The sequence below is a fragment of the Homo sapiens genome, chromosome 19 (genome assembly GCF_000001405.40).
Source record: "Homo sapiens chromosome 19, GRCh38.p14 Primary Assembly".
Taxonomy (NCBI): Eukaryota; Metazoa; Chordata; class Mammalia; order Primates; family Hominidae; genus Homo; species Homo sapiens.
Window position 1 is genome coordinate 13751833 of NC_000019.10, and position 22451 is coordinate 13774283.

The 22451-nt window shown below is 52.7% G+C and overlaps 2 protein-coding genes across 19 annotated transcripts in view, besides 4 other annotated features; both read left to right on the forward strand.

Annotated features, from left to right (window-relative positions):
• YJU2B (YJU2 splicing factor homolog B) overlaps window positions 1-11457 on the forward strand; it is a 31538-nt gene extending 20081 nt beyond the window's left edge. For 6 of the 11 annotated variants that reach the window (NM_001320561.2, NM_001320564.2, NM_001320565.2 and 3 more), the window contains 8 exons: window positions 2457-2510; window positions 4365-4447; window positions 5586-5641; window positions 5954-6014; window positions 7036-7178; window positions 7268-7440; window positions 10467-10605; window positions 10758-11457. In NM_001320561.2, the coding sequence (NP_001307490.1) occupies window positions 2457-2510; window positions 4365-4447; window positions 5586-5641; window positions 5954-6014; window positions 7036-7178; window positions 7268-7440; window positions 10467-10605; window positions 10758-11236 (1188 nt within the window). In that variant the 3' untranslated portion in view covers window positions 11237-11457. Of the gene's footprint in view, window positions 1-2456; window positions 2511-4364; window positions 4448-5585; window positions 5642-5953; window positions 6015-7035; window positions 7441-9658; window positions 9738-10466; window positions 10606-10757 lie in introns of those variants that run through there. The other 5 variants (NM_001320566.2, NM_001320567.2, NM_001320568.2 and 2 more) reach the window with 3 other exon arrangements.
• Window positions 10901-11417: an enhancer, noted in NCBI's record as "H3K27ac-H3K4me1 hESC enhancer chr19:13873547-13874063 (GRCh37/hg19 assembly coordinates)". NCBI's record gives its function as "activates a minimal SCP1, AML or CMV promoter by ChIP-STARR-seq in primed H9 embryonic stem cells {active_cell/tissue: H9 hESC(primed)}" and the evidence as "EXISTENCE:reporter gene assay evidence [ECO:0000049][PMID:30033119]".
• On the forward strand, window positions 12690-22450 carry MRI1 (methylthioribose-1-phosphate isomerase 1). Of its 8 annotated transcripts, NR_138051.2 has the most exons (7): window positions 12690-12888; window positions 13039-13277; window positions 14122-14233; window positions 16527-16615; window positions 16729-16905; window positions 16992-17216; window positions 20289-22450. NR_138051.2 is itself a non-coding variant. In NM_001031727.4 (6 exons), the coding sequence occupies exons 1-6, from the start codon at window positions 12757-12759 to the stop codon at window positions 20447-20449; spliced, it is 1110 nt and encodes a 369-aa protein (NP_001026897.1). In that variant the 5' UTR covers window positions 12690-12756; the 3' UTR covers window positions 20450-22450. The 8 variants fall into 8 exon arrangements, 6 of the variants coding, with proteins under 6 accessions (NP_001026897.1, NP_001316501.1, NP_115661.1 ...); NM_001031727.4 differs by lacking the exon at window positions 16527-16615 and having other exon boundaries at window positions 14122-14297; NM_001329572.2 differs by lacking the exon at window positions 14122-14233.
• Window positions 13060-13109: a silencer, noted in NCBI's record as "silent region_10208". NCBI's record gives its function as "represses an Ori minimal core promoter by ATAC-STARR-seq in GM12878 lymphoblastoid cells {active_cell/tissue: GM12878}" and the evidence as "EXISTENCE:reporter gene assay evidence [ECO:0000049][PMID:35858748]".
• Window positions 13887-14516: an enhancer, noted in NCBI's record as "H3K4me1 hESC enhancer chr19:13876533-13877162 (GRCh37/hg19 assembly coordinates)". NCBI's record gives its function as "activates a minimal SCP1, AML or CMV promoter by ChIP-STARR-seq in naive H9 embryonic stem cells {active_cell/tissue: H9 hESC(naive)}" and the evidence as "EXISTENCE:reporter gene assay evidence [ECO:0000049][PMID:30033119]".
• Window positions 22315-22384: an enhancer, noted in NCBI's record as "active region_14134". NCBI's record gives its function as "activates an Ori minimal core promoter by ATAC-STARR-seq in GM12878 lymphoblastoid cells {active_cell/tissue: GM12878}" and the evidence as "EXISTENCE:reporter gene assay evidence [ECO:0000049][PMID:35858748]".

Below are 22451 nucleotides of genomic sequence, written 5' to 3' on the forward strand. Positions count from 1 at the left end.
CCCTGGGTTTCTCTCCCAGTCTTTGTAGGACCCTGGAAGCAGCCCCTCCTCCCCTCCCAGAGCTCTAAGATGATGATTTCAATCTCCGGGTCATCATCTTTTGGTGCAGTGGGTCTGAAATGTGGCTTTGCGCTAACATCACCCATGGGCACTTTTTAAATGTTTTTTTGTTTCATTTTCTTTTGTTTTTGAGACAGTCTCACTTTGTTGCCTAGGCTGGAGTGCAGTGGCACGCTCTCGGCTCACTGCAACCTCCGCCTTCTGGGTTCAAGCAAGCACGTCCCACTAATTTTTGTATTTTTAGTAGAGACGGGGTTTTGCCATGTTGGTCAGGCTGGTCTGAAACTCCTGACCTCAAGTGATCCACTACACTCAACCTAAATTTCCCCTTCCCCCTTTCCCCTCCCCCTCCCCTACCCCTTCCTTTCTCTTTCTTTCTTTCATTTTTTTTTAACAAGGTGAAATTCATATAACATAAAATTAACCATTGCAAGGCCAGGCACAGTGGCTCACGCCTGTAATACCAGCAGTTTGGGAGGCCAAGGCAGGCAAATCATTTAAGATTAGGAGTTTGAGACCAGCCTGGCCAACATGGCGAAACCCTGTCTCTACTAAAAATACAAAAATTAGGCTGGGCGCGGTGGCTCACGCCTGTAATCCCAGCACTTTGCGAGGTTGAGCTGGGTGGATCACCTGAGGTCAGGAGTTTGAGACTACCCTGGCCAACGTGGTGAAACCCCGTCTCTACTAAAAATACAAAAATTAGCCAGGCGTGTTGGCGGGAGCCTGTAGTCCCAGCCACTCTGGAGGGTGAGGCAGGAGAATCGCTTGAACCCGGGAGGTGGAGGTTGCAGTGGGCTGAGAACATGCCACCACACTCCAGCCTGGGCAACGAAAGCGAAACTCCATCTCAAAAAAAAAAATACAAAAATTAGTTGGATGTGGTAGCACATTCCTGTAGTCCCTGCTACTCAGGAGGCTAAGGCACGAGGATTGCTTGAACTCAGGAGGCAGAGGTTGCAGTGAGCCAAGATTGCACCACTGCACCCAAGCCTGCGTGACAGAGCAAGACTCTGTCTCAAAAAAAAAAAAGAAGAAAACAAGAGCGACTCTTCAGCCAGGCTCAGTGTTCTTTCTTGAGACCTGTGTTCAACGGTACTACATGTGTATCTGCCCAGTGGCAATGTTAAATACTTCTTACCGTCAATCACAGTCTCCAAAAGAGTGTGAAAGCCACCATAGGAGCATCTGAACCTCATGGAATTTTCCAAAGCAATGACAATGGGTTTTTTGCCCAAGTAGCCCTTCCCCAATCAGACACTGAGCCCAGCACTGTCCTCTAAAATGTCCCCAAGTCCCCCTTATCCAGGTCCTGCCCCCTGAGGCTGCACAAGTAGGTTTCCTGGAGGGAGCCTGTGTATTAGTCCAGTCTCACGCTGCTCATAAAGACATACCCAAGGGCTGGGCGCGGTGGCTCACGCCTGTAATCCCAGCACTTTGGGAGGTCGAGGTAGGTGGGTCACAAGGTCAGGAGTTCAAGACCAGCCTGGCCAATATGGTGAAACTTTGTCTGTACTAAAAATACAAAAAAATTAGCTGGGCGTAGTGGCACATGCCTGTAATCCCAGCTACTCGGGAGGCTGAGGCAGGAGAATTGCTTGAATCCGGGAGGCGGAGGTTGCAGTGAGATGAGATCGCACCATTGCACTCCAGCCTGGGCAACAAGAGTGAAACTCTGTCTCAAAAAAAAAAAAAAAAAAAAAAAAGACATACTCAAGCCTGGGTAATTTATAAAGGAAAGAGGTTTAATTGACTCACAGTTCAGCATGGCTGGGGAGGCCTCAGGAAACTTAACAATCATGGCAGAAGGGGAAGCAAACACATCCTTCTTCACGTGGCAGCAGCAAGAATGAGCAAGAGGAAAAGCTCCTTGTAAAACCATGAGGTCTCTCGAGAACTCATTCGCTGTCATGAGAACAGCATGATTCGCCCCCATGATTCGATTCAGTTACCTCCCACCAGGTCCCTCCCATGACACGTGGGGATTATGGGAACTACAATTCAAGATGAGATTTCGCCTGTAATCCCAGCACTTTGGGAGGCTGAGGTGGGTGCATCACTTGATGTCAGGAGTTCAAGACCAGCCTGGCCAACATGGTGAAACCCCATCTCTACTAAAAATACAAAAAATTAGCTGGGCGTGGTGGTGCATGCCTGTAATCCTAGCTACTCAGGAGGCTGAGGCAGGAGAATCGCCTGAACTCGGGAAACGGAGGTTACAGTGAGTCAAGATCGCACCACTGCACTCCAGCATGGGTGACAGAGCAAGACTCCATCTCTAAAAATTAATAGTAAAATAAAAAATCAGAAAAAATTTTTTTGAATGAGATTTGGGTAGGGACACAGCCAAACCATATCAGCCTCTCTCTGAGTCATGTCTCTGTTCTGCTTTGCAGGGTGAAAGGAAAGGGGTCAACAAGTACTATCCTCCAGACTTCAACCCTGAGAAGGTAAGCAGGCTCTCCGCTCCAGGTCCACAGTAGCAAAAAGACCCACGTCATCCCCTCTTGGGGTTAGAGCCACTGCTGCGGAAGGATGGGTGGCCCCCAAGGTCTTTTTGTCTTCTGCATGTCACCTGAGTCTCGAGGCTGTCTTCACTTTTGGGTGATAACTGTGGCTCTCCTCAGGGACCTGTAACTCCATGTCCACACTATACTAGAGTATAGTGTGTTTACAGCAGGGGCCCAGGATAAGGCAGAGCGCACAGATGAAGGGTCAGATCCCATGGCTTCCCCAGCTCCAGCACCTGTGGCGTCCTGGTTGTCCCCTCTGCCTGGAATCTCTTCCTCCATTTCACCATACTCTCACTTCCTTAAGTGCTTTTCTCACAGAGGTCCTCCCTGACCACTGTCTCGTTCTCTGTTGCATTGCTGAGCACTTTATATAATCTCATAGCCCTTATAACTCCCTCACTTATTCATTTATTTGCGTCTTGTCCATCTCCCCCGCTAGAACATTCTCTCCCTGAAGGCAGAGATGTTCATCTATCTTATTGTGGCTGTGTCCCCACACAGTAGGTGCTCAGTAAGGGCCCAAGTGTCCCAGCTGCCTCGTCCTGAGTATAGGATTTAGCCTCTCTATGCCAAAGTTTCTCCATACGTCAGAAGGGGGAAATAAAATGAGCTGACCTCACAGAATCATTGAGGGATAAATCCTAGCTACTCAGGAGGCTGAGGTGGGAGGATTGCTTGAGCCCAGGAGGTGGAGACTGCAGTGAGTCATAATCATACCACTGCACCCCAGCCTGGGCTACAGAGCCAGACCCTGCCTCAAAAAAAAAAAAAAAAAAAGCCGGCGCCATGGCTCACGCCTCTAATCCCAGCACTTTGGGAGGCCAAGGCAGGTGGATCACCAGGTCGAGAGTTTAAGACCATCCTGGCCAACATGGTGAAACTTGATCTCTACTAAAAATACAAAAATTAGCTGGGCGTAGTGGCCCACACCTGTAGTCCCAGCTACTTGGGAGACTGAGACAGGAGAATCGCTTGAACCCGGAAGGCGGAGGTTGCAGTGAGCCGAGATCACGCCACTGCACTCCAGCCTAGTGACAGAGCGAGACTCTGTCTCAAAAAAAAAAAAAAAAAAATAAGGTGATGCACATGAAGTCCCCAGCGAATGTTTGCCAGTCTTGTCACCTCACCTCATCTTCCCCATAAAACCTGGAAGTAATAATGACCATTATACGTAGTTGACAGACAAGGGAAACAGAGGCTCGGGAAGGCAAAACGTGAGGTCACTCGCCCAGGGTCCCCTGGCTCTTTCAGCTCATAAATGGGAACAGGGCTGGGCGCAGTAGCTCACACCCGGAATCCCAGCACTTTGGGAGGCCGAGGCAAGTGGATCACCTGAGGTCAGGAGTTGGAGACCAGCCTGGGTGACATGGTGAAACCCCGTCTTTACTACAAATACAAAAAAAATAGCCGGGCGTGGTGGCAGGCGCCTGTAATCCCAGCTACTTAGGAGCCTGAGGCAGGAGAATCACTTGAACCCGGGAGGCAGAGGTTGCAGTGAGCCAAGGTCATGCCATTGCACTCCAGCCTGGGCAACAAGAGCAAAACTCCATCTCAAAAAATAAATAAATAAATAAGAGAGGGACTATTCAAACTCACGTTCCTGGTTCCAAGCCTACATGTTCCAGTAAGACCTGGATGCCCCCTATTGCTATGAACACCCGTCCTGCAGGACATAAGAATCAAGGCCTCTCCCACCTGTGAGACACTTGTCCCAAAGCAGTGGGGGTGGCAGAAAATTGTGAGCTCCTCCAGCTCAGCAGCACTAATCCGCTCCTCATCCTCTCCACACAGCATGGCTCTCTCAACCGATACCACAACAGCCACCCGCTTCGGGAGCGGGCTCGGAAGCTGTCACAGGGCATCCTCATCATCCGGTAAGGCCCAGCATCACCTGAGGACCCCACCGTCCTGCCCCATTCCTTCAGTCTCAAGGAGAGTTCAGTGCCCTCATTGGCCCAGTGCTGCAGGGTCTTCATTCCATAAAGCAGAAAGTCACCGTATCAGTCAGTTATTGCCGTGTGACAAAACAATAAGCATTTATTATTGCTCACATGTCTGCAGCTCAGCAAAATATCTCTGCTGGGCTTGGAAGAGCTTGGCTGGGCTGGGCTAGGCTGGCCTGATCTGGGCTGGGCTCCCATGTGTTTCAGAGTTGGCTGGCTGGGGACTGGCTGGTTTAGCAGGGACTTGACCTGTACAGCTGGGCTCTGCTCCGTGTTGTATCTCAACCTGTAGCAGGCCAGCCTGGACTTGATCACATAGGACTCTCAAAAAAGACAGTGATCGTAGTTGGGCACAGTGGGTCACGCCTGTAAACCCAGCACTTTGGGAGGGTGAGGCAGGTGGATCACTTGAGACCAAGAGTTCGAGAGCAGCCTGGCCAACACAGTGAAACCCTGTCTCTACTGAAAATAGAAAAAATTAGGCTGGGTGCGGTGGCTCACACCTGTAATCCCAGCTCCTCGGGAGGCTGAGGCAGGAGAATCACTTGAACTAGGGAGCTGGAGGTTGCAGTGAGCCAAGACCATGCCACTGTACTGCAGCCTGGCAACAGAGCGAGACTCCATCTCAAAAAAAAAAAAAAAATTCGCCGGAATTGGTGGCGCACACCTATAATCCCAGCTACTTGGGAGGCTGAGGCATAAGAATTGCTTGAACCCAGGAGGCAGAGGTTGCAGTGAGCCAGGATCGCACCACTGCACTCTAGCATGGGGAACAGAGCAAGACTCTGTCTCAAAAAAAAAAAGTCGCAGCAGCACCCAAAGGCGGCTGTCCCTGGACCTGGTCAGTCTGCTTTCTAGCAGGCAGGAAGTTCCTGCTCAGTTACAATGGTTGTGATTCTTTTTCTTCCATATATCCATTTCCTGTGTAATGTGAGTGCAGCAACTCCCGTTAACAGGGCAGTCTAATACCCCACCCCTCAAATCACAACCGCGGCCAGAGTCGCAGGTGTGGAGACCCAGGGAGTGTCCAAGTGGACAAGTGCAAGTAAGATGCTGTCTGTCTTTGCAGATTCGAAATGCCATATAACATCTGGTGCGATGGCTGCAAGAACCACATCGGCATGGGTGAGCCTCTGCCCACCCTCCATTCAGTCCTGCAAACATCAGACCCCCTAACTGCTGGATGCCGCCGGGGTGGGGGTGGGAGGGTCCTGATCAGGAATGAGGGAGGAGACGGGCACCCGAGTGACTGGCTGGCCATGGAAGCCCCTTTGCAGAGGGATTAGGAAGCCAGGCTCTGGCTTCCAATCCCGTCTCTAACTCCTCCTAGTTGGGGAACCCTCAGCAAGTGACAGTGAGCCTCTTTGTACCTCATTTTACCCATCTGCAAAATTCAGATGGCAATGAAATTACCACCCCCGCCTGACCCCCTTCCAGGTGTTCGTTACAATGCAGAAAAGAAGAAGGTGGGCAATTACTACACAACCCCGATCTACAGGTAAGGGCGGCTTGGTGGCATCTTGGGAACAGGTGGGGTGGCCACAGGGCGAGGGGGCTACAAAGAGCCTGAGTTGCGGGGGGAACCCATTCCCTGCAGGACTCCTGGAAATCGCCCTGGTTGGTGAATCAGGGCACACCCCACCCCCGCAACCCTCCATGGCTCCCACCTTCCTCAGTAAAAGCCCAAGTCCTCCCCCTGGCTCACAAGGCACCACACACTCTGCCTGTCCTTTCTTCACCCTAACCTCCTCCTGCTGTCCCCCTCCCTGGCCTCCTCGTTGTCCCTCACACACCCCAGGGACACACCCACCTCTGTGCTTCCACCTGGAATGCTCTTCCCCAGGTAGCTCCAAGGCTCCTCCCTCACCCGGGGTTTCTGCTCAAACAGCACCCCTCAGAGACACCTTTTCTAAAGTGAGACTTGACACTGGTTGCTTGTGCCCTTGCTATCAAGGTGGGCCCTGCTGGGACGTCAGCCTTTCCATGAGCAAGTTGGCTTTTCCACTACTCAGCAATTTCCCCAGCAGCTGGCACTGAGCCTGCCACAGAGCAGCCTGTCTTGGGCGGGTTTGTTGAATAAATGAACTAGTGGACAAATGAATGAACAAATGAATGAACAGAATGAACAAATGATAAGTGAATTAACAAATGGATGGATGAGCAAATGAATGTATGAATTACTTTAACAAATGAATCAGTGAACCAACAAACAAATGCACTAATGAATGAACAAATGAATTAACGAATAAATGAACCAAAAAAATGGATGAGGGAATGAATGAATGAACAAACAGCTGAATGAACAAATGAATAAGCCAACTGCAGCCCCACTGACAGAAGGTCCGTTCTGGGTGCCCGGATGTGCCCCTTTTTGCCCGTGGCTCTACACGGCACACAGTGGGTGCTCAGTGAATTTTTGTCAAATGACACCATTGGGTGGAAGGAAGCAGGCAGAGGCGACAGGGCTGTCCTGGTGCACAGCCACAGCCTCCTGACTCCTGCCCACCGCTCCCTCCCAGGTTCCGGATGAAATGCCACCTCTGTGTCAACTACATCGAGATGCAGACGGACCCCGCCAACTGCGACTACGTGATCGTGAGTGGCGCCCAGCGCAAGGAGGAGCGCTGGGACATGGCGGACAATGAGCAGGTGCTGACCACAGGTGAGCGCCACCCACTTACCTGCCTGGGGGCCCTGGCCCTGAGTCTGCGCTGGGGCCCCCAAAGCCCAGCCGAGCTCTGATCGTTGCAGAGCATGAGAAGAAGCAGAAGCTGGAGACGGACGCCATGTTCCGGCTGGAGCATGGCGAGGCCGACCGCAGCACACTCAAGAAGGCGCTGCCCACACTGAGCCACATCCAGGAGGCCCAGAGCGCCTGGAAGGACGACTTCGCCCTCAACAGCATGCTGCGGAGAAGGTTCCGGGTGAGGGGGGCTCCAGCCCGGGGTCAGAGAGGATGCATGGTGGACCAAGGCCCGGGTCCAGCCCTCCCCCCACCACATCCTAGCTTTGAGCAGGCCACTGTACCCTCTGAGCCTCAGTTTCCCCATCTGCTACATGGTGACCATGCCCTGTCTTAATCCATTCTGGCTACTATAATAAAAAATACCATAGACAGAAACAGTAGAAATTTGGCTGGGCACAGTGACTCACGCCTGTAATCCAGCACATTGGGAGGATCGCTTGAGGCCAGGAGTTCAAGATCAGCCTGGGCAACATAGTGAGACACCACCCCCCCCCTCCCCCAGCATCTCTAAATAAATAAATAATAGAAATTAATTTTTTTTTTGTTTTGAGACAGTAGTCATCTCGCTCTGTCATCCAGGCTAGAGTGCAGTGGCGCAATCTTGGCTCACTGCACCTCTGCCTCCTGGGTTCAAGCAATCCTCCTGCCTCAGCCTCCAGAGTAGCAGGAATTATAGGTACCCACCACCACCACGCCTGGCTAATTTTTTTTTTTTTTTTTGAGACTGAGTTTCACTCTTATTGCCCAGGCTGGAGTGCAATGGCATGATCTTGGGTCACCGCAACTTCTGCCTCCCGGGTTCAAGTGATTCTCCTGCCTCAGCCTCCTGAGTAGCTGGGATTATAGGCATGCACCATCACGCACAGCTAGTATTCTTAGTAGAGACGGGGTTTCTCCATGTTGGTCAGGCAGGTCTCAAACTCCCATCCTCAGGTTATCTGCCTGCCTCGGCCTCCTAAAGTGCTGGGATCACAGGCGTGAGCCACCGCACCTGGCCAATTTGTGTATTTTTAGTAGAGGCGGGGTTTCACCATGTTGGCCAGGCTGGTCTCGAACTCCCAACCTCAAGTGATCCACCGTGGCCTACCCAAAGTGCTGGGATTACAGGCGTGAGCCACCGAGACCAGCCAAAATAAACAATAGAATTTTATTTCTCATGGTTCTGGAGTCTGCGAAGTCCAGGATCAAGGCGCTGGCAGATCCAGTGTCTGGTGAGGGCCCATTTCTCATAGGCGGTGGCTTCTAGCTGTGTCCTCATGTGGCAGAAGGGACAAACAAGTTCCCTTGAGCCTCCTTTTATAAGTCCAATAATCTCATTGGTGAGGACGTAGCCCTTCTGACTTAATTACTTCCCCAAATGCCTCACATCTTTTAACACTGTCAACGTTGAGGATTAAGCTTCAACATATCAATTTGGGGGACACAGACATTGAGACCATAGCTCACCCCTACCTCACCATGCCATGGGAGATACCTACCTGGTTGCCTCCTTTTATTTATTTATTTTTTTTCTTTTTGTGACTGGGTCTCACTCTGTTGCCCAGGCTGGAGTACAGCGGCAAATCATGTCTCACTGCAGCCTCGATGTCCCAGGTTCAAGCAATCCTCCCCACTAAGCCTCCCAAGTAGCTGGGACCCACAGGCATGAGCCATCACACCTGGCTAATGTTGGGTTTTTTGTGTTTTGTTTTTGCTTAGACTGAGTCTCGCTCGTCGCCCATGCTGCAGTGCAGTGGCATGATCCCGGCTCACTGAAGCCTCCACCCCAGGTTCAAGCAATTCTCCTGCCTCAGCCTCCCAAGTAGCTGGGATTCCAGGTTCCCACCACTGTGCATGGCTAATTTTTGTATTTTTAGTAGAGACTGGGTATCACCATGTTGGCCAGGCTGGTCTCGAAATCCTGGCCTCATGTGATCCACCCACCTCAACCTCCCAAAGTGCTAGGATTACAGGCGTGAGCCACTGCATCTGACCTGGCCACCACATTTTAAATGGAACCTCTTGGCTGGGCGCGGTGGCTCACATCTGTAATCCCAGCACTTTGGGAGGCTGAGGCAGGCGGATCACGAGGTCAGGAGATCGAGACCATCCTGGCTAACATGGTGAAACCCCGTCTCTACTAAAAATGCAAAAAAAAATTAGCCAGGTGTGGTGGCGGGTGCCTGTAGTCCCAGCTACTTGGGAGGCTGAGGCAAGAGAATGGCGTGAACCTGGGAGGTGGAGTTTGCAGTGAGCTGAGATCGTGCCACTGCACTCCAGCCTGGCCGACAGAGCAAGACTCTTGTCTCAAAAAAATATAGAATTAAACTAAATTAAAAAATAAATGGAACCGCCCAGCCCATCCCCTACCCACCTGTCCTGCATTTTTTTTCTCCTTATCACTGTCTCACCACTAGAGGCCAGCTCCACCAGGGCAAGGGTTTTTCCCTGCCTGCCACTGTATGCCGAGTGTCCAGAACAAAGCCTAGCACAAGGTGGGTATCCCAGAAATATTTGTGGGATGAGGCCGTGCGTGGTGGCTCACACCTGTAATCCCAGTGCTTTGGGAGGCTCAGGTGGGAGGATTGTTTGAGGCCATGAGTTGGAGACCAGCCTGGGCAACATAGTGAGACCCCATCTCTACAAAAAAAAATTTTTTTTTTTTTTTGAAACAGTCTCCCCCCTTTCGCCCTGGCTGGAGTGCAGTGACAACGATCTCAGCCCACCGCAACCTCCACCTCCCCGGTTGAAGTGATTTTCATGCCTCAGCCTCCCAAGTAGCTAGGACCATAGGCGCATGCCACCATGCCTGGCTAATTTTTATATTTTTAATAGAGACAGGATTTTGCCTTGATGGCCAAGCTGGTCTCAAACTACTGGCCTCAAGGGATCCACCCGCCTCAGCCTCCCAAAGTGCTGGGATTACAGACATGAACTACCAGGCCCAGTCTCTACAAAAATAAATGTTTTAATTAGCTGGGCGTGGTGGTGCACATCTGTAGTACTGGATACTTGGGAGGCTGACATGAGAGAATCGCTTGAGCCCAGGAGTTCGAGGCTGCAGTGAGCTATGATTGTGCCACTGCACTCCAGTCTGGGCGACAGAATGAAACTGTCTCAAAAAGAGTAAATGAGACCCCGAGAGTTGGAGCAGTGCCCCCTAGTACACAGAAGAGACAGGGCTTTGACACCCCCTATCTCTGGTGTTCTTGGCCCTCAACACAGGAAAAGAAAAAAGCCATCCAGGAGGAGGAGGAGAGAGACCAGGCCTTGCAGGCCAAGGCGAGCCTGACCATCCCGCTGGTGCCCGAGACGGAAGATGACCGCAAGCTGGCGGCTCTGCTGAAGTTCCACACCCTGGACTGTGCGTAGGAGGCCAGGGGGAAAAGGGGACAGGGAGGCTCAGAGTTGCCTGGAGATGGGGGGTCCTCAGCCATGAGTGGACTCTGGTCTACCAGAGGGCAGTTCTGGACCCCCTCCCCTGCCGCCCCTGAAATGTCCTCTCCTCTCCTCTAGCCTACGAGGACAAGCAGAAACTCAAGCGGACCGAGATCATCAGCCGCTCCTGGTTCCCCTCTGCCCCCGGATCCGCCTCCAGCAGCAAGGTCAGCGGCGTCCTGAAGAAGCTGGCACAGAGCCGCAGAACCGCGCTTGCCACCTCCCCCATCACCGTCGGGGACCTGGGCATCGTGCGGCGGAGGTCTCGGGACGTCCCGGAGAGCCCCCAGCATGCGGCCGACACCCCCAAGTCTGGGGAACCGCGGGTACCAGAGGAGGCTGCCCAGGACCGGCCCATGTCCCCCGGAGACTGTCCTCCGGAAACAACTGAGACCCCCAAGTGCAGCAGCCCGAGGGGGCAGGAAGGGAGCCGTCAGGACAAGCCCCTGTCGCCAGCAGGCTCCTCCCAGGAGGCAGCTGACACCCCCGACACGCGGCACCCCTGCAGTCTCGGCTCCTCCCTCGTGGCGGACTACTCCGACTCGGAGAGTGAGTGAGCGATCCCCATCCTGGAGACTGGACCCGCTCTAGAGGCCCGGACACACCCAGGAGGCCCCTCACAGACTGCAGACCCCCGGCTCGCCCACCAGCCCTGGGAGAGCTCAGATGCCGCATCCTCCCCAGACCGCGCCTTCCTGCAACCGTGGAGTTATTTATTTGGTCCTGGTGAGGGTGTTTGTGCCTTGTGAGACTCCGTACATTAAAGACCTGTCTCTTCTTCCCTGTCTTGGGTTGTTAGATGGACCCTGGGGCTGCCCCCCCACCCCCCCACCTTGACCAAGCTTGGTAGGCCTCTCATCAGCAAATGCTGGTATAGGGTCATAGCTGTGACCACAGACATGGTCCCCTTCCAGAGTAACAAGAGTCTCAAGGTGGTGGTCCCGGTTGGCCAGGAATCAGGACAGACTTCCTGGAGGAGGAGGCATGGGCCAAGTGTGAAGGGTGAAAAGGGGGCCAGGAACCACACACACAAGGCCAGGGACAAGGCACACGGGGTACCCAGGATGTGTGCCAGATGCAGCAGGGGCTGGAGCACACAGGTGTGAGCTTTTTATTATACCCAGCCCAGGGGTGGCCCATGGAAAAGCCCCCCGTGCATGTTACTTTTGGGGTTTTTTTGTTTTGTTTTTGAGACCGAGTCTTGCTCTGTCACCCAGGCTGGAGTGCAGTGGCGCGATCTCGGCTCACTGCAACCTCTGCCTCCTGGGTTCAAGTGATTCTTCTGCCTCAGCCTCCCGAGCAGCTGGGACTACGGGTGTGCGCCACCACGCCCAGCTAATTTTTTGTATTTTTAGTAGAGACTGGGTTTCACCATGTTGGCCAGGCTGGTCTCGAACTCCTGACCTCAAGTGATCTGCCCGACTCGGCCTCCCAAAATGCTGGGATTCCAGGCGTGAGCCACAGCGCCTGTCCTGCATGTTACTTTTGAATGAAACCGAGCAGAAAATGGCCCAGAAACAGCCTTGCATCCATCAAGGGGCACACGACCCCCCACTACCTCCCCCTCAACCTTGGAAGATCATTTAACAAATTCTTTGGTTTGAACACTTGATGTTACCTTGCCACTGGGGATACATCCCTAACTCTAGACAGCAGGTTGTTAAACACGGGGCCTGGTATCCACTAGGCGTCCCATAAATGCTGCCACTTTTGTGGTTCCGAGGAGGCGGCTCACTCCGTTCGGGCTTGGCAGGAGTCGTGGAGTGGGTTCGGCCACGTGGAATCCGCGTCCTGGGAACCCGTGGAATCCGCGTCCTGGGAACCCGTGGAATCCGCCTCCTGGGAACCCGTGGAATCCGCCTCCTGGGAACCCGTGGAATCCGCCTCCTGGGAACCCGTGGAATCCGCCTCCTGGGAACCCGTGGAATCCGCCTCCTGGGAACCCGTGGAATCGGGTTGGATGCGCATGTGCGTGTCTCTTTTTCCGGGGGAGGCTCCGCCCACGGCCCCGCCCCGCTCCCAAGTGCGCGCGGACCCCTAGCTCCCTCTGAGTTGCGCTGGGCTTGGCTGCTGCACCATGACCCTGGAGGCGATCCGCTACTCGCGGGGCTCCCTGCAGATCCTAGACCAGCTGCTGCTGCCCAAGCAGAGCCGCTACGAGGCGGTGGGCTCGGTGCACCAGGCCTGGGAGGCCATCCGCGCCATGAAGGTGCAGCGGGGCGGCGGGGCGGCGGGGCGGCGGGGCGGCGGGGCGGCGGGGCGGCGGGGCGGCGGGGCGGCGGGGCGGCGGGGCGGCCGGGTTGGAGGTGGGAGTGCGCCCGCGCCTGCAGCTTCCGACGCCCAAATCCCTGCCCCGCAGGTGCGGGGCGCCCCGGCCATAGCCCTGGTGGGCTGTCTCAGCCTCGCCGTGGAGCTGCAGGCGGGCGCCGGGGGACCGGGACTCGCCGCGCTCGTGGCCTTCGTGCGCGACAAGCTGAGCTTCCTCGTCACCGCCCGGCCCACCGCTGTCAACATGGCCCGCGCCGCCCGCGACCTGGCTGATGTTGCAGCCCGGGAGGCCGAACGGGAGGGCGCTACGGAAGAGGCGGTCCGGGAGAGGTACGGGGATCTGGTACCAGGCACGGCGCTGAGCAGGAATTATATTGACTCTTTTTAAGTACAGTGACCCACTATACAGATGGGGAAACTGAGGCACGGCGACCTTAAGTCCCTTGTCCAGGGCCCCACAGATGGGGAGACTGAGGCACGGCGACCTTAAGTCCCTTGTCCAGGGCCCCACAGATGGGGCCCAGAGTCTAGCCTGGGCAGCCTGGCCCTGAAACCTAACTCCTTAATCGTGCCTCCCCTGAATACACGCAGCCCCTTATCCGCCCTTGGAGGCCCTTTTTAGTATCTCCGTGTTCTCTTGGTTTCTGCTTTTGAGGAACTTTTTTTCCTGTCCTGGTCCCCTTCCTGCCATCTTTTTCCCCCCACTTCCTTTCTGCTCCAGCCCTCCCTGCAATGTCACTTTACCCCACCAAGCTCGAGCCTGCCTTACAGCCTTTGCACGTGCCATTGGTGCGGGCCAGGTATCCATAGCGCCCTCCTCCACCATTCTATATGATCCAGCTCACCCGCTGCTCTCTGTTGCCTGATTCTGCCGGCTTTTCCTTCATTTTATTATCTCTTCATCAGCTGGCTCACTCACCCCAGTGTCAACTCCACAGGAGCAGAGATTTTTGTCTTGTTTACTGCTGGGTCATACCGGAACTGCTTGGTAAACATGTCTTTGCATGAATGAACGGAGTGACACTTCGGTGGCCCTGGCCGAAGGGTCCAGGCCCCACAGCAATGAGAGGCTTTGAGCAGGAGGGCTCCAGGACAGCAGCGTTAGGCAGAGAGGAGGCGTTGGCCTGGGCCCCGGGTCCTGGTGGCTGGTGCTGAAAACTCCTTGTCACCCCAGAGTGATCTGCTGCACCGAGGACATGCTGGAGAAAGACCTCAGAGACAACCGAAGCATTGGGGACCTAGGAGCCCGCCACCTCCTGGAGCGGGTGGCCCCCAGCGGTGGCAAGGTGACTGTGCTGACCCACTGTAACACTGGTGCTCTGGCCACCGCTGGCTATGGTACAGCCCTAGGTGAGAGGGCCTCCTCAGGGGGTAGGGGAGGGCCTTCTAGGAACTTTTTTAGATACAAGAGAAAGAATCCCAAACCCAAACCACTTTATCCACAAAAAAAATGGGAAGGTACTAGTTCTAGTACGGAAACACTTATACAGTTGGCTTCAGGTATGGCAAGATCAAGGGGCTCAACCAGTAGCATCAGGACCTATCTATCTCTGTGCTTCAGCTCTGCCCTCCTTCATCTTCAGGTTCCATGGGCTGGCAGGCGGCTGTTAGGGTCCAAATCATGAGGAAAAGAGCCTCCTATACTAGAAAAGTCTCCTTGTATCTCAGGGGGTCCACTAGGGCACCTGCCCATCCCAGAGCAGTCATTCGATGGGCCCCGCCTGAGCCATATGCCTAGAGCCAGGGCAGGACGTGGACTCCAGGAGGAACTGGGGAGAAGGGAGTGAGCAGAGAAAGATTAGGTAGCTGTGACCAGGAGACAGGGGGAGTGGGCTGTAGGGGGCCAAGGCAGCAGATTCCACTTGACCCTAAATTCACCAGGAAATTTCCCTACCTGCCTGAGTCCCACCTTCATCCCTGGGAACTGAGGCCTTAATGGAAAGACCTCTGCCTTTGATTCATTCACTCACCCAGCATTTAGTAAGCACCTGCTGTGGCTCAGACACCGCCATTTGCTGGGGACGCAGCAGTGAACAAAACAGACAAAATCTCTGCTCTCAGGGGTCCCAGGGAAGCAGAAGGAACAGTCAACAGGCAAAATAAGTACAGTCATCCTTCAATATCTGTGGGGGACTGGTTCCAGGACCTCCCACAGATACCAAAATCCATGGATGCTCAAGTCTCTGATATAAAAATGCCATCATATTTGCATGACCTATGCACATCCACATATATATATATATATATATATATATATATTTTTTTTTTTTTTTTTTTTTTTTTTTTTGAGACAGAGTCTTGCTCTGTCGCCCAGGCTGGTGCAGTGGCATGATCTCAGCTTACTACAACCTCTGCTTCCCGGGTTCAAGAGATTCTCATGCCTCAGCCTCCTGAGTGTCTGGGATTATAGGCGTGAGCCACTACGCCCAGCTAATTTTTATATTTTTAGTAGGGACGGGGTTTCACGACATTGGCCAGGCTGGTCTCGAACTTCTGACCTTAGGCGGTCCGCCAGCCTCGGCCTCCCAAAGTGCTGGGATTACAGACGTAAGCCACAGTGCCCAGCCCACCCCTATATTTTAAATCGTGTCTAGATTGCATATCATAGCTAGTCCCATGTAAATACTATGTAAATTGTTGTTACTGGCTAGGTGTAGTGGCGGTGCAGGCCTGTAATCAGGAGGCTGGGGTGGGAGGATTGCTTGAACTCAGAAGTTCTAGACCAGCCTTTGCAACACAGCAAGACCCTGTCTCTATTTTTAAGCCTGTAATGCCAGCACTTCGGGAGGCCAAGGTGGGCGGATCGCTTGAGCTCAGGGGTTCAAAACCAGCCTGGGCTTCATGGCAAAACCCCATCTCTACAAAAAATACTAAAATTAGCTGGGTGTAGTGGTATGCACCTGTGGTCCCACCTATTCGGGAGGGGACTGAGATGGGAGGATTGCTTTTTATTTATTTATTTATTTTGGAGACAGAGTCTTGCTCTGTCACCCAGGCTGGAGTGCCATGGCACGACCTTGGCTCCTTGCAACCTCTGCCTCCTGGGTTCCAGCGATTCTTTTCAAGTATTTTCTTTCTTTCCTTTTTTTTTTTTTTTTTTTTTTTTTGAGACAGAGTCTTGCACTGTTGCCCAGGCTGGAGTGCAGTGGCGCAGTCTCGGCTCACTGCAAGCTCCGCCTCCCAGGTTCACGCCATTCTCCTGCCTCCGCCTCTCGAGTAGCTGGGACTACAGGTGCCCGCCACCACGCCCGGCTAATTTTTTGAACTTTTAGTAGAGATGGGGTTTCACCGTGTTAGCCAGGATGGTCTCGATCTCCTGACCTCGTGATCCATCTGCCTAGGCCTCCCAAAGTGCTGGGATTACAGGCGTGAGCCACCACGCCCAGCCCAAATATTTTCAATCCACATGGTTGAGTCCATGGATGGAGAACCCATAGAAAAGGGGGGCTGCCTGTACACATGAGGTGTTAGAAGGTGATAAATGCTAAGGACAGAGAGCAGGAAACTGAAAGTGTGGGGATTGCTATGCAAAACTGATATATCAGGGAAGGCTTCACCGAGAAGGTGTCCTTTAAACAGACGTGAAACGGAGCTATGCGAGCATTGGGAAGAGCATACCAGGCAGAGGGAACTGCCACTGCGAGGGCCCCTGGGCGGGACTGTGCTCGGTAAGCCTTTGGCAATCCACGCCCAGACTAGGAGCCTGCACCCCTAACCAATGGACCACCCTGTCTGTTTGCCCCTCCCCGGGGCCTTCTCCTGGTGGGTGGGGCCCCCGCAGGTGTGATTCGCTCACTGCACAGCCTGGGCCGCCTGGAGCATGCCTTCTGCACAGAGACCCGGCCCTACAACCAGGGAGCCCGGCTGACGGCCTTTGAGCTGGTCTATGAGCAGATCCCCGCCACCCTTATCACCGACAGCATGGTGGCTGCTGCCATGGCCCATAGGGGCGTGTCAGGTAAGCAGACGGTAAGCCCTGGGGGCGGGGCTCTGGAGCATGGGGCCAGGTAATGACCCCCAACTTCTCATACGCCCCCTCCCCAGCTGTGGTCGTGGGAGCTGACCGCGTGGTTGCCAACGGCGACACAGCCAACAAGGTGGGCACCTACCAGCTGGCCATTGTCGCCAAGCACCATGGCATTCCCTTCTACGTGGCTGCCCCCAGCTCTTCATGTGACCTCCGTCTGGAGACCGGCAAGGAGATCATTATTGAAGAGCGACCGGGCCAGGAGCTGACCGATGTTAATGGGGTCCGGATTGCAGCACCTGGTAAGCTGCCCCCTCAGAAAGGGGACACCCCAGCTCCTGGGCACTTCATGGAGGCAGGTGATATGCAGGTCCTTGTCATCCTTCTGGAACATACACAGCTCCTACAAGCCACTTTTTCTTTTTTCTTTTTTTTGAGATGGAGTCTTGCTCTGTCCCTCAGGCTAGAGTGCAGTGGCACGATCTGGGCTCCCTGCAACCTCCACCTCCCGGGCTCAAGCAGTTCTCCTGCCTCAGCCCCCCAAGTAGCTGGGACTATAGGTGGGTGCCACCACGCCTGGCTAATTTTTGTATTTTTAGTAGAGATGAGGTTTCAACATGTGGACCAGGCTATTTATTAACTACTGACCTCAAGCAATCAGCCTGCCTCTGCCTCCCAAAGCGCTAGGATTACAGGTGTGAGCCACAGCACGCCTGGCCCAAGCCACTTCTTCTAACAGGTGCATCCTGGAGGTCAGATCCAATGTTGGAATTTACAACTAACCGGTTATATGAATGATCTTGAGTAACTGTCTTGCTATTCTCCACTTAGGTTTTCTTAAGAGGAAATAAGAATATCTGGCTGGCCACGTGTTTGTAAAGAAAAACCAAGACGGCCAGGCGAGGTGGCTCACACCTGTAATCCCAGCACTTTGGGAGGCCGAGGCGGGCAGATCACAAGGTCAGGAGTTCGAGACCAGCCTGGTCAACATAGTGAAACCCCGTCTCTACTAAAAATACAAAAATTAGCCGGACATGGTGGCACCCGCCTGTAGTCCCAACTACTCAGGAGGCTGAGGGAGGAGAATCACTTGAACCTGAGAGGCGGAGGTTGTGGTGAGCTGAGATTACACCATTGCACTCCAGCCTGGGCAACAGAGTGAGATTCTGTCTCAAAAAAAAAAAAGAAAAGAAAAAGCAAGATATTTCTACACTTATTTTTATTTGTTTATTTTCATAGAGATAGGGTCTCGCTATGTTCCCCAGGCTGGTCTCAAACTCCTGGCCTCAAGCGATCCTCCTGCCTCAGCCTCCCAAAGCACTGAGATTACAGGTGTGAGCTCCCATGCCTAGCTGCAAGACTTTTCTTAGCTGCCTATACTTCCTGGCTGTGCAACCGTTAGCAAGTTCCCTAAATTCTCTAATTCCCTAAGATCCTCACTGGTCCTATCTGTAAAATGGGCTATGGCTAGAACCTGCTGCATAAACCCAAGGGCGGTCAGTGAATTAACCCACAGGACATTTAGATCAATGACTGGCCCTTTAAATAGTTCATGCACTCAGATGCCGTGGCTCACGCCTATAATCCCAACACTTTGGGAGGCGGAGGTGGGCGGATCACTTGAGGTCAGGCGTTCCAGACCAGCCTAGCCAACAGAGCGAAACCACGTCTCTACTAAAAAAATATAAAAATTAGCCAGGCGTGGTGGCACATGCCTGTAGTCCCATCTACTTGGGAAGCTGAGGCATGAGAATTGCTTGAACCTAGGACGCAGAGGTTGCAGTAAGTTGAGACTGCACCACTGCACTCCAGTCTGGGTGACAGAGCGAAACTCCATCTCAAAAATAAAAAAAAAGGCCGAGCGCTGTGGCTCACGCCTGTAATCCCAGCACTTTGGGAAGCCGAGGCGGGCGGATCACCTGAGGTCGGGAGTTCAAGACCAGCCTGACCAACATGGAGAAACCCTGCCTCTACTAAAAATACAAAATTAGCCGGGCGTGGTGGCACATGCCTGTAACCCCAGCTACTCAGGAGGCTGAGGCAGGAGAATTGCTTGAACCCGGGAGGCGGAGGTTGCAATGAGCCAAGATAGCGCCACAGCACTCCAGCCTGGGCAACAAGAGTGAAACTCCATCTCAAAGAAAAAAAAGAAAAAACAGTTCATGAAATATTAGCATGAACCAATATTAGCATTATGGGGCCAGGTAAAATGGCTCACACCTGAAATCCCAGTATTTTGGGAGGCTGAGGTGGGAGGATCACTTGAGCTCAGGAGTTCAAGACCAGCCTGGGCAACATTGCCAGACCACAATCTCTAAAAAAATTGTTTTGCCAGGTGTGGTGGTTCATGATTGTAACCCCAGCACTTTGGGAGGCTGAGGCGGGCGGATCACCTGAGGTCAGGGGTTCGAGACCAGCCTGGCCAATGTGGTGAAACCCCGTCTCTACTAAAAATACAAAAAAAAAAAACGTTAGCTGGGCGAGGTGGCAGGCGCCTGTAATCCCAACTACTTGGGAGGCTGAGGCAGGAGAATCGCTTGAACCTGGGAGGCACAGGTTGCAGTGAGTTGAGATCATGTCACTGCACTCCAGCCTAGGTGACAAGAGCAAAACTCCATCTCAAAAAAACAAAAAAACAGCTAGACATGATGGTGCACATCTGTGGTCCCAGCTGCTCAGGAGGCTGCAGCAGGAGAATCGTTTGAATCCAAGAGGCAGAGGTTACACTGAGCCAAGATCGCACCACTGTACTACAGCCTGGGTGACACAACGAGACTCTGTGTCAAAAATAATAATAATAATTAAAAATAAAACTAAAAAAATAAGTGGGATGGGCCAGGTGCGGTGGCTCACGCCTGTAATCCCAGCACTTTGGGAGGCCGAGGCGGGCAGATCACCTGAGGTCGGGAGTTTGAGACCAGCCTGACCAACATGGAAAAACCTCGTCTCTACTAAAAATACTGGCTGGGCATGGTGGTGCATGCCTGTAATCCCAGCTACTCGGGAGGCTGAGGCAGGAGAATTGCTTGAAACCTGGGAGGTGGAGGTTGCAGTGAACCAAGATCGTGCCATTGCACTCCAGCCTGGGCAACAAGAGCAAAACTACATCTCACAAAAAATAAAAAAATAAGTGGCATAGATGTGTATAGGACTTTGAATTTTTCTTGGGGACTGACATTCTAGGGGCAGTGGCGAGTCTAAACTTACTATTGAGTACAATGTCCATGCCTGCATGTACTTTTGGGGTGAGAATCCTCAGGTTCTCAAGGACTCCCCAACTCCAAGAACCACTGTGGTAGAAACAGATGACTACAACCTGAGAACTTTCACAGAAGCAAATTCTTGCCTCCTTGCCTCCCCTCTCTCCCCTGCAGGGATTGGAGTTTGGAATCCTGCCTTCGATGTCACCCCCCACGACCTCATCACTGGTGGCATCATCACAGAACTGGGGGTCTTTGCCCCTGAGGAGCTCCGGACAGCCCTAACCACCACCATCTCTTCCAGGGATGGAACCCTAGATGGACCCCAGATGTAACCAACTCAGCTCTCCCTAGCCTGCCTCTCTAGGTTTTTCAATACATTTCTTGAATGGCTACCCAAAAGCTGACCGTCCAGCCCCTGACCACACTTGTTCCTAGTGCAGGGAGCTCAGACAGGGCCTTCCATCTAGAGCCCAGCACCTAGAGCCAGGCTGCCCAGATTCAAATCCTGACTCCGCCACTTTTCCCACTGTATGATCTTGGGCAAGTCACTTCACCTCTCTGTGCCTTGGTTTCCTCATTTATAAAATGTGGATAACAGGCCGGGCGCAGTGGCTCACACCTGTAATCCCAGCACTTTGGGAGGCCGAGGCAGGTGGATCACAAGATCAGGAGATTGAGACCATCCTGGCTAACATGGTGAAACCCCATCTCTACTAAAAATACAAAAAATTAGCCGGGTGTGGTGGTGGGCACCTGCAGTCCCAGCTACTTGGGAGGCTGAGGCAGGAGAATGGCGTGAAACTGGGAGGCAGAGCTTGCAGTGAGCCGAGATAGCGCCACTGCACTCCAGCCTGGGCAACAGAGCGAGACTCCGTCTCAAAAATAAATATAATTAATTAATTATTTAATTAAAAAAATAAAAAATAAATGTGGATAATACTAGTACCTCCCTCTTAAGGTCAGGGCTGGAGCTAGGGTGACATCTCCAGGGCAGAATTTTAAGAGGACACCAAAAAAGCTCAGCAACCAAGATAAAAAATATTTTAAAGCAATATTTTGTTTTGGGTTTTTTTTTTTTGAGATCAAGTATCACTCGTTACCCAGGCTGGAATGTAGAGGCGAGATCTCAGCTCACTGAAACCTGTGCCTCCCCGGTTCAAGCGATTCTCCTGCCACAGCCTCCTGAGTAGCTGGGATTACAGGCATGCGCCACCATGCCCAGCTAATTTTTCTATTTTTAGTAGAGACATGATTTCACCATGTTGGCCAGGCTGGTCTCGAACTCCTGACTCAAATGATCCCCCTGCCTCAGCCTCCCAAAGTGCTGGGACTACAGGCATGAGCCACTGTGCCTGACCTTACAGCAGTATTTTTTAAAAATCAAAATTAATGCAAAAATCCATGATGAGGCCAGGCTTGGTGGCTCATGCCTGTAATTCCAGCACTTTGGGAGGATCCCTTGAGCCCAGGTGTTTGAGACCAGTTTGGGTAACATAGGAAGAGCTTGTCTCTACAAACAAAAATTTAAAAACAATGAGCTGGGCATGGAACTCACACCTCTAGCCCCAGCTACTCAGGCTGAAGTGGGAGGATGGCTTGAGCCCAGGAGTTCAAGGATGCAGTGTGCTTTGATTGCACTACTGCACTTCACCCTAAGCAACAGAGTGAGACCCCATCTCTTTAAAAAAAAAAAAAAATCCATGATGAACAAAACAAGTATTTGTTTGAGACGGGGTCTCGCTCTGTCGCCCAGGCTGGAGTACAGTGGTGCCATCTCAGCTCACTGCAACCTCCGCCTTCTGGGTTCAAGCGACTCTCCTGCCTCAGCCTCCCGAGTAGCTGGGATTACAGGAGCCTGGCACTATGCCTGGCTAATTTTTGTATTTTTATTGGAGACACCATGTTAGTCGTGGCTGGTCTCCAACTCCTGACCTCGGGTGATCCGCGCCCCGCGGCCTCCGAAAGTGCTGGGATTACAAGCGTGAGCCACCGTGCCCGGCCTAAATAAAATTTTGAAGAGGCTAGAACCCCGCACTTGTGCCTTGAGCTTACTGACCTCAACACCCTGGTTCCACTAAAACTTTATTTACAAAATTATGCTGCCGGTCTGCAGGATGTAGTTTAACAATTTGATTATTTTGGATATTAAAATATTTTTTAAGTCTTGAAAATATTGTTTACTATTACCAAAGTTTTTGAACCTTCTTAAATTCTGTACCAGAGGTGAGTGCCACACCCTAACCTAGTCTGAGTTTTTATGTGTAAAGATCATAAAACGTTGTAAGTTTTCTAAAACACATAAGCTCTCAATAAACGTTAGCTTATCATTGTCAC

Bases quoted from the DNA above. Each gene is read 5' to 3' on its own strand.
- MRI1 (NM_001031727.4), top strand. From the start codon at position 12,757: ATGACCCTGGAGGCGATCCGCTACTCGCGGGGCTCCCTGCAGATCCTA. The intron at 12,889-13,038 runs GTGCAGCGGGGC...CCTGCCCCGCAG, and splicing joins AGGCCATCCGCGCCATGAAG to GTGCGGGGCGCCCCGGCCAT. The intron at 14,298-16,728 runs GTGAGAGGGCCT...GGGCCCCCGCAG, and splicing joins TGGCTATGGTACAGCCCTAG to GTGTGATTCGCTCACTGCAC.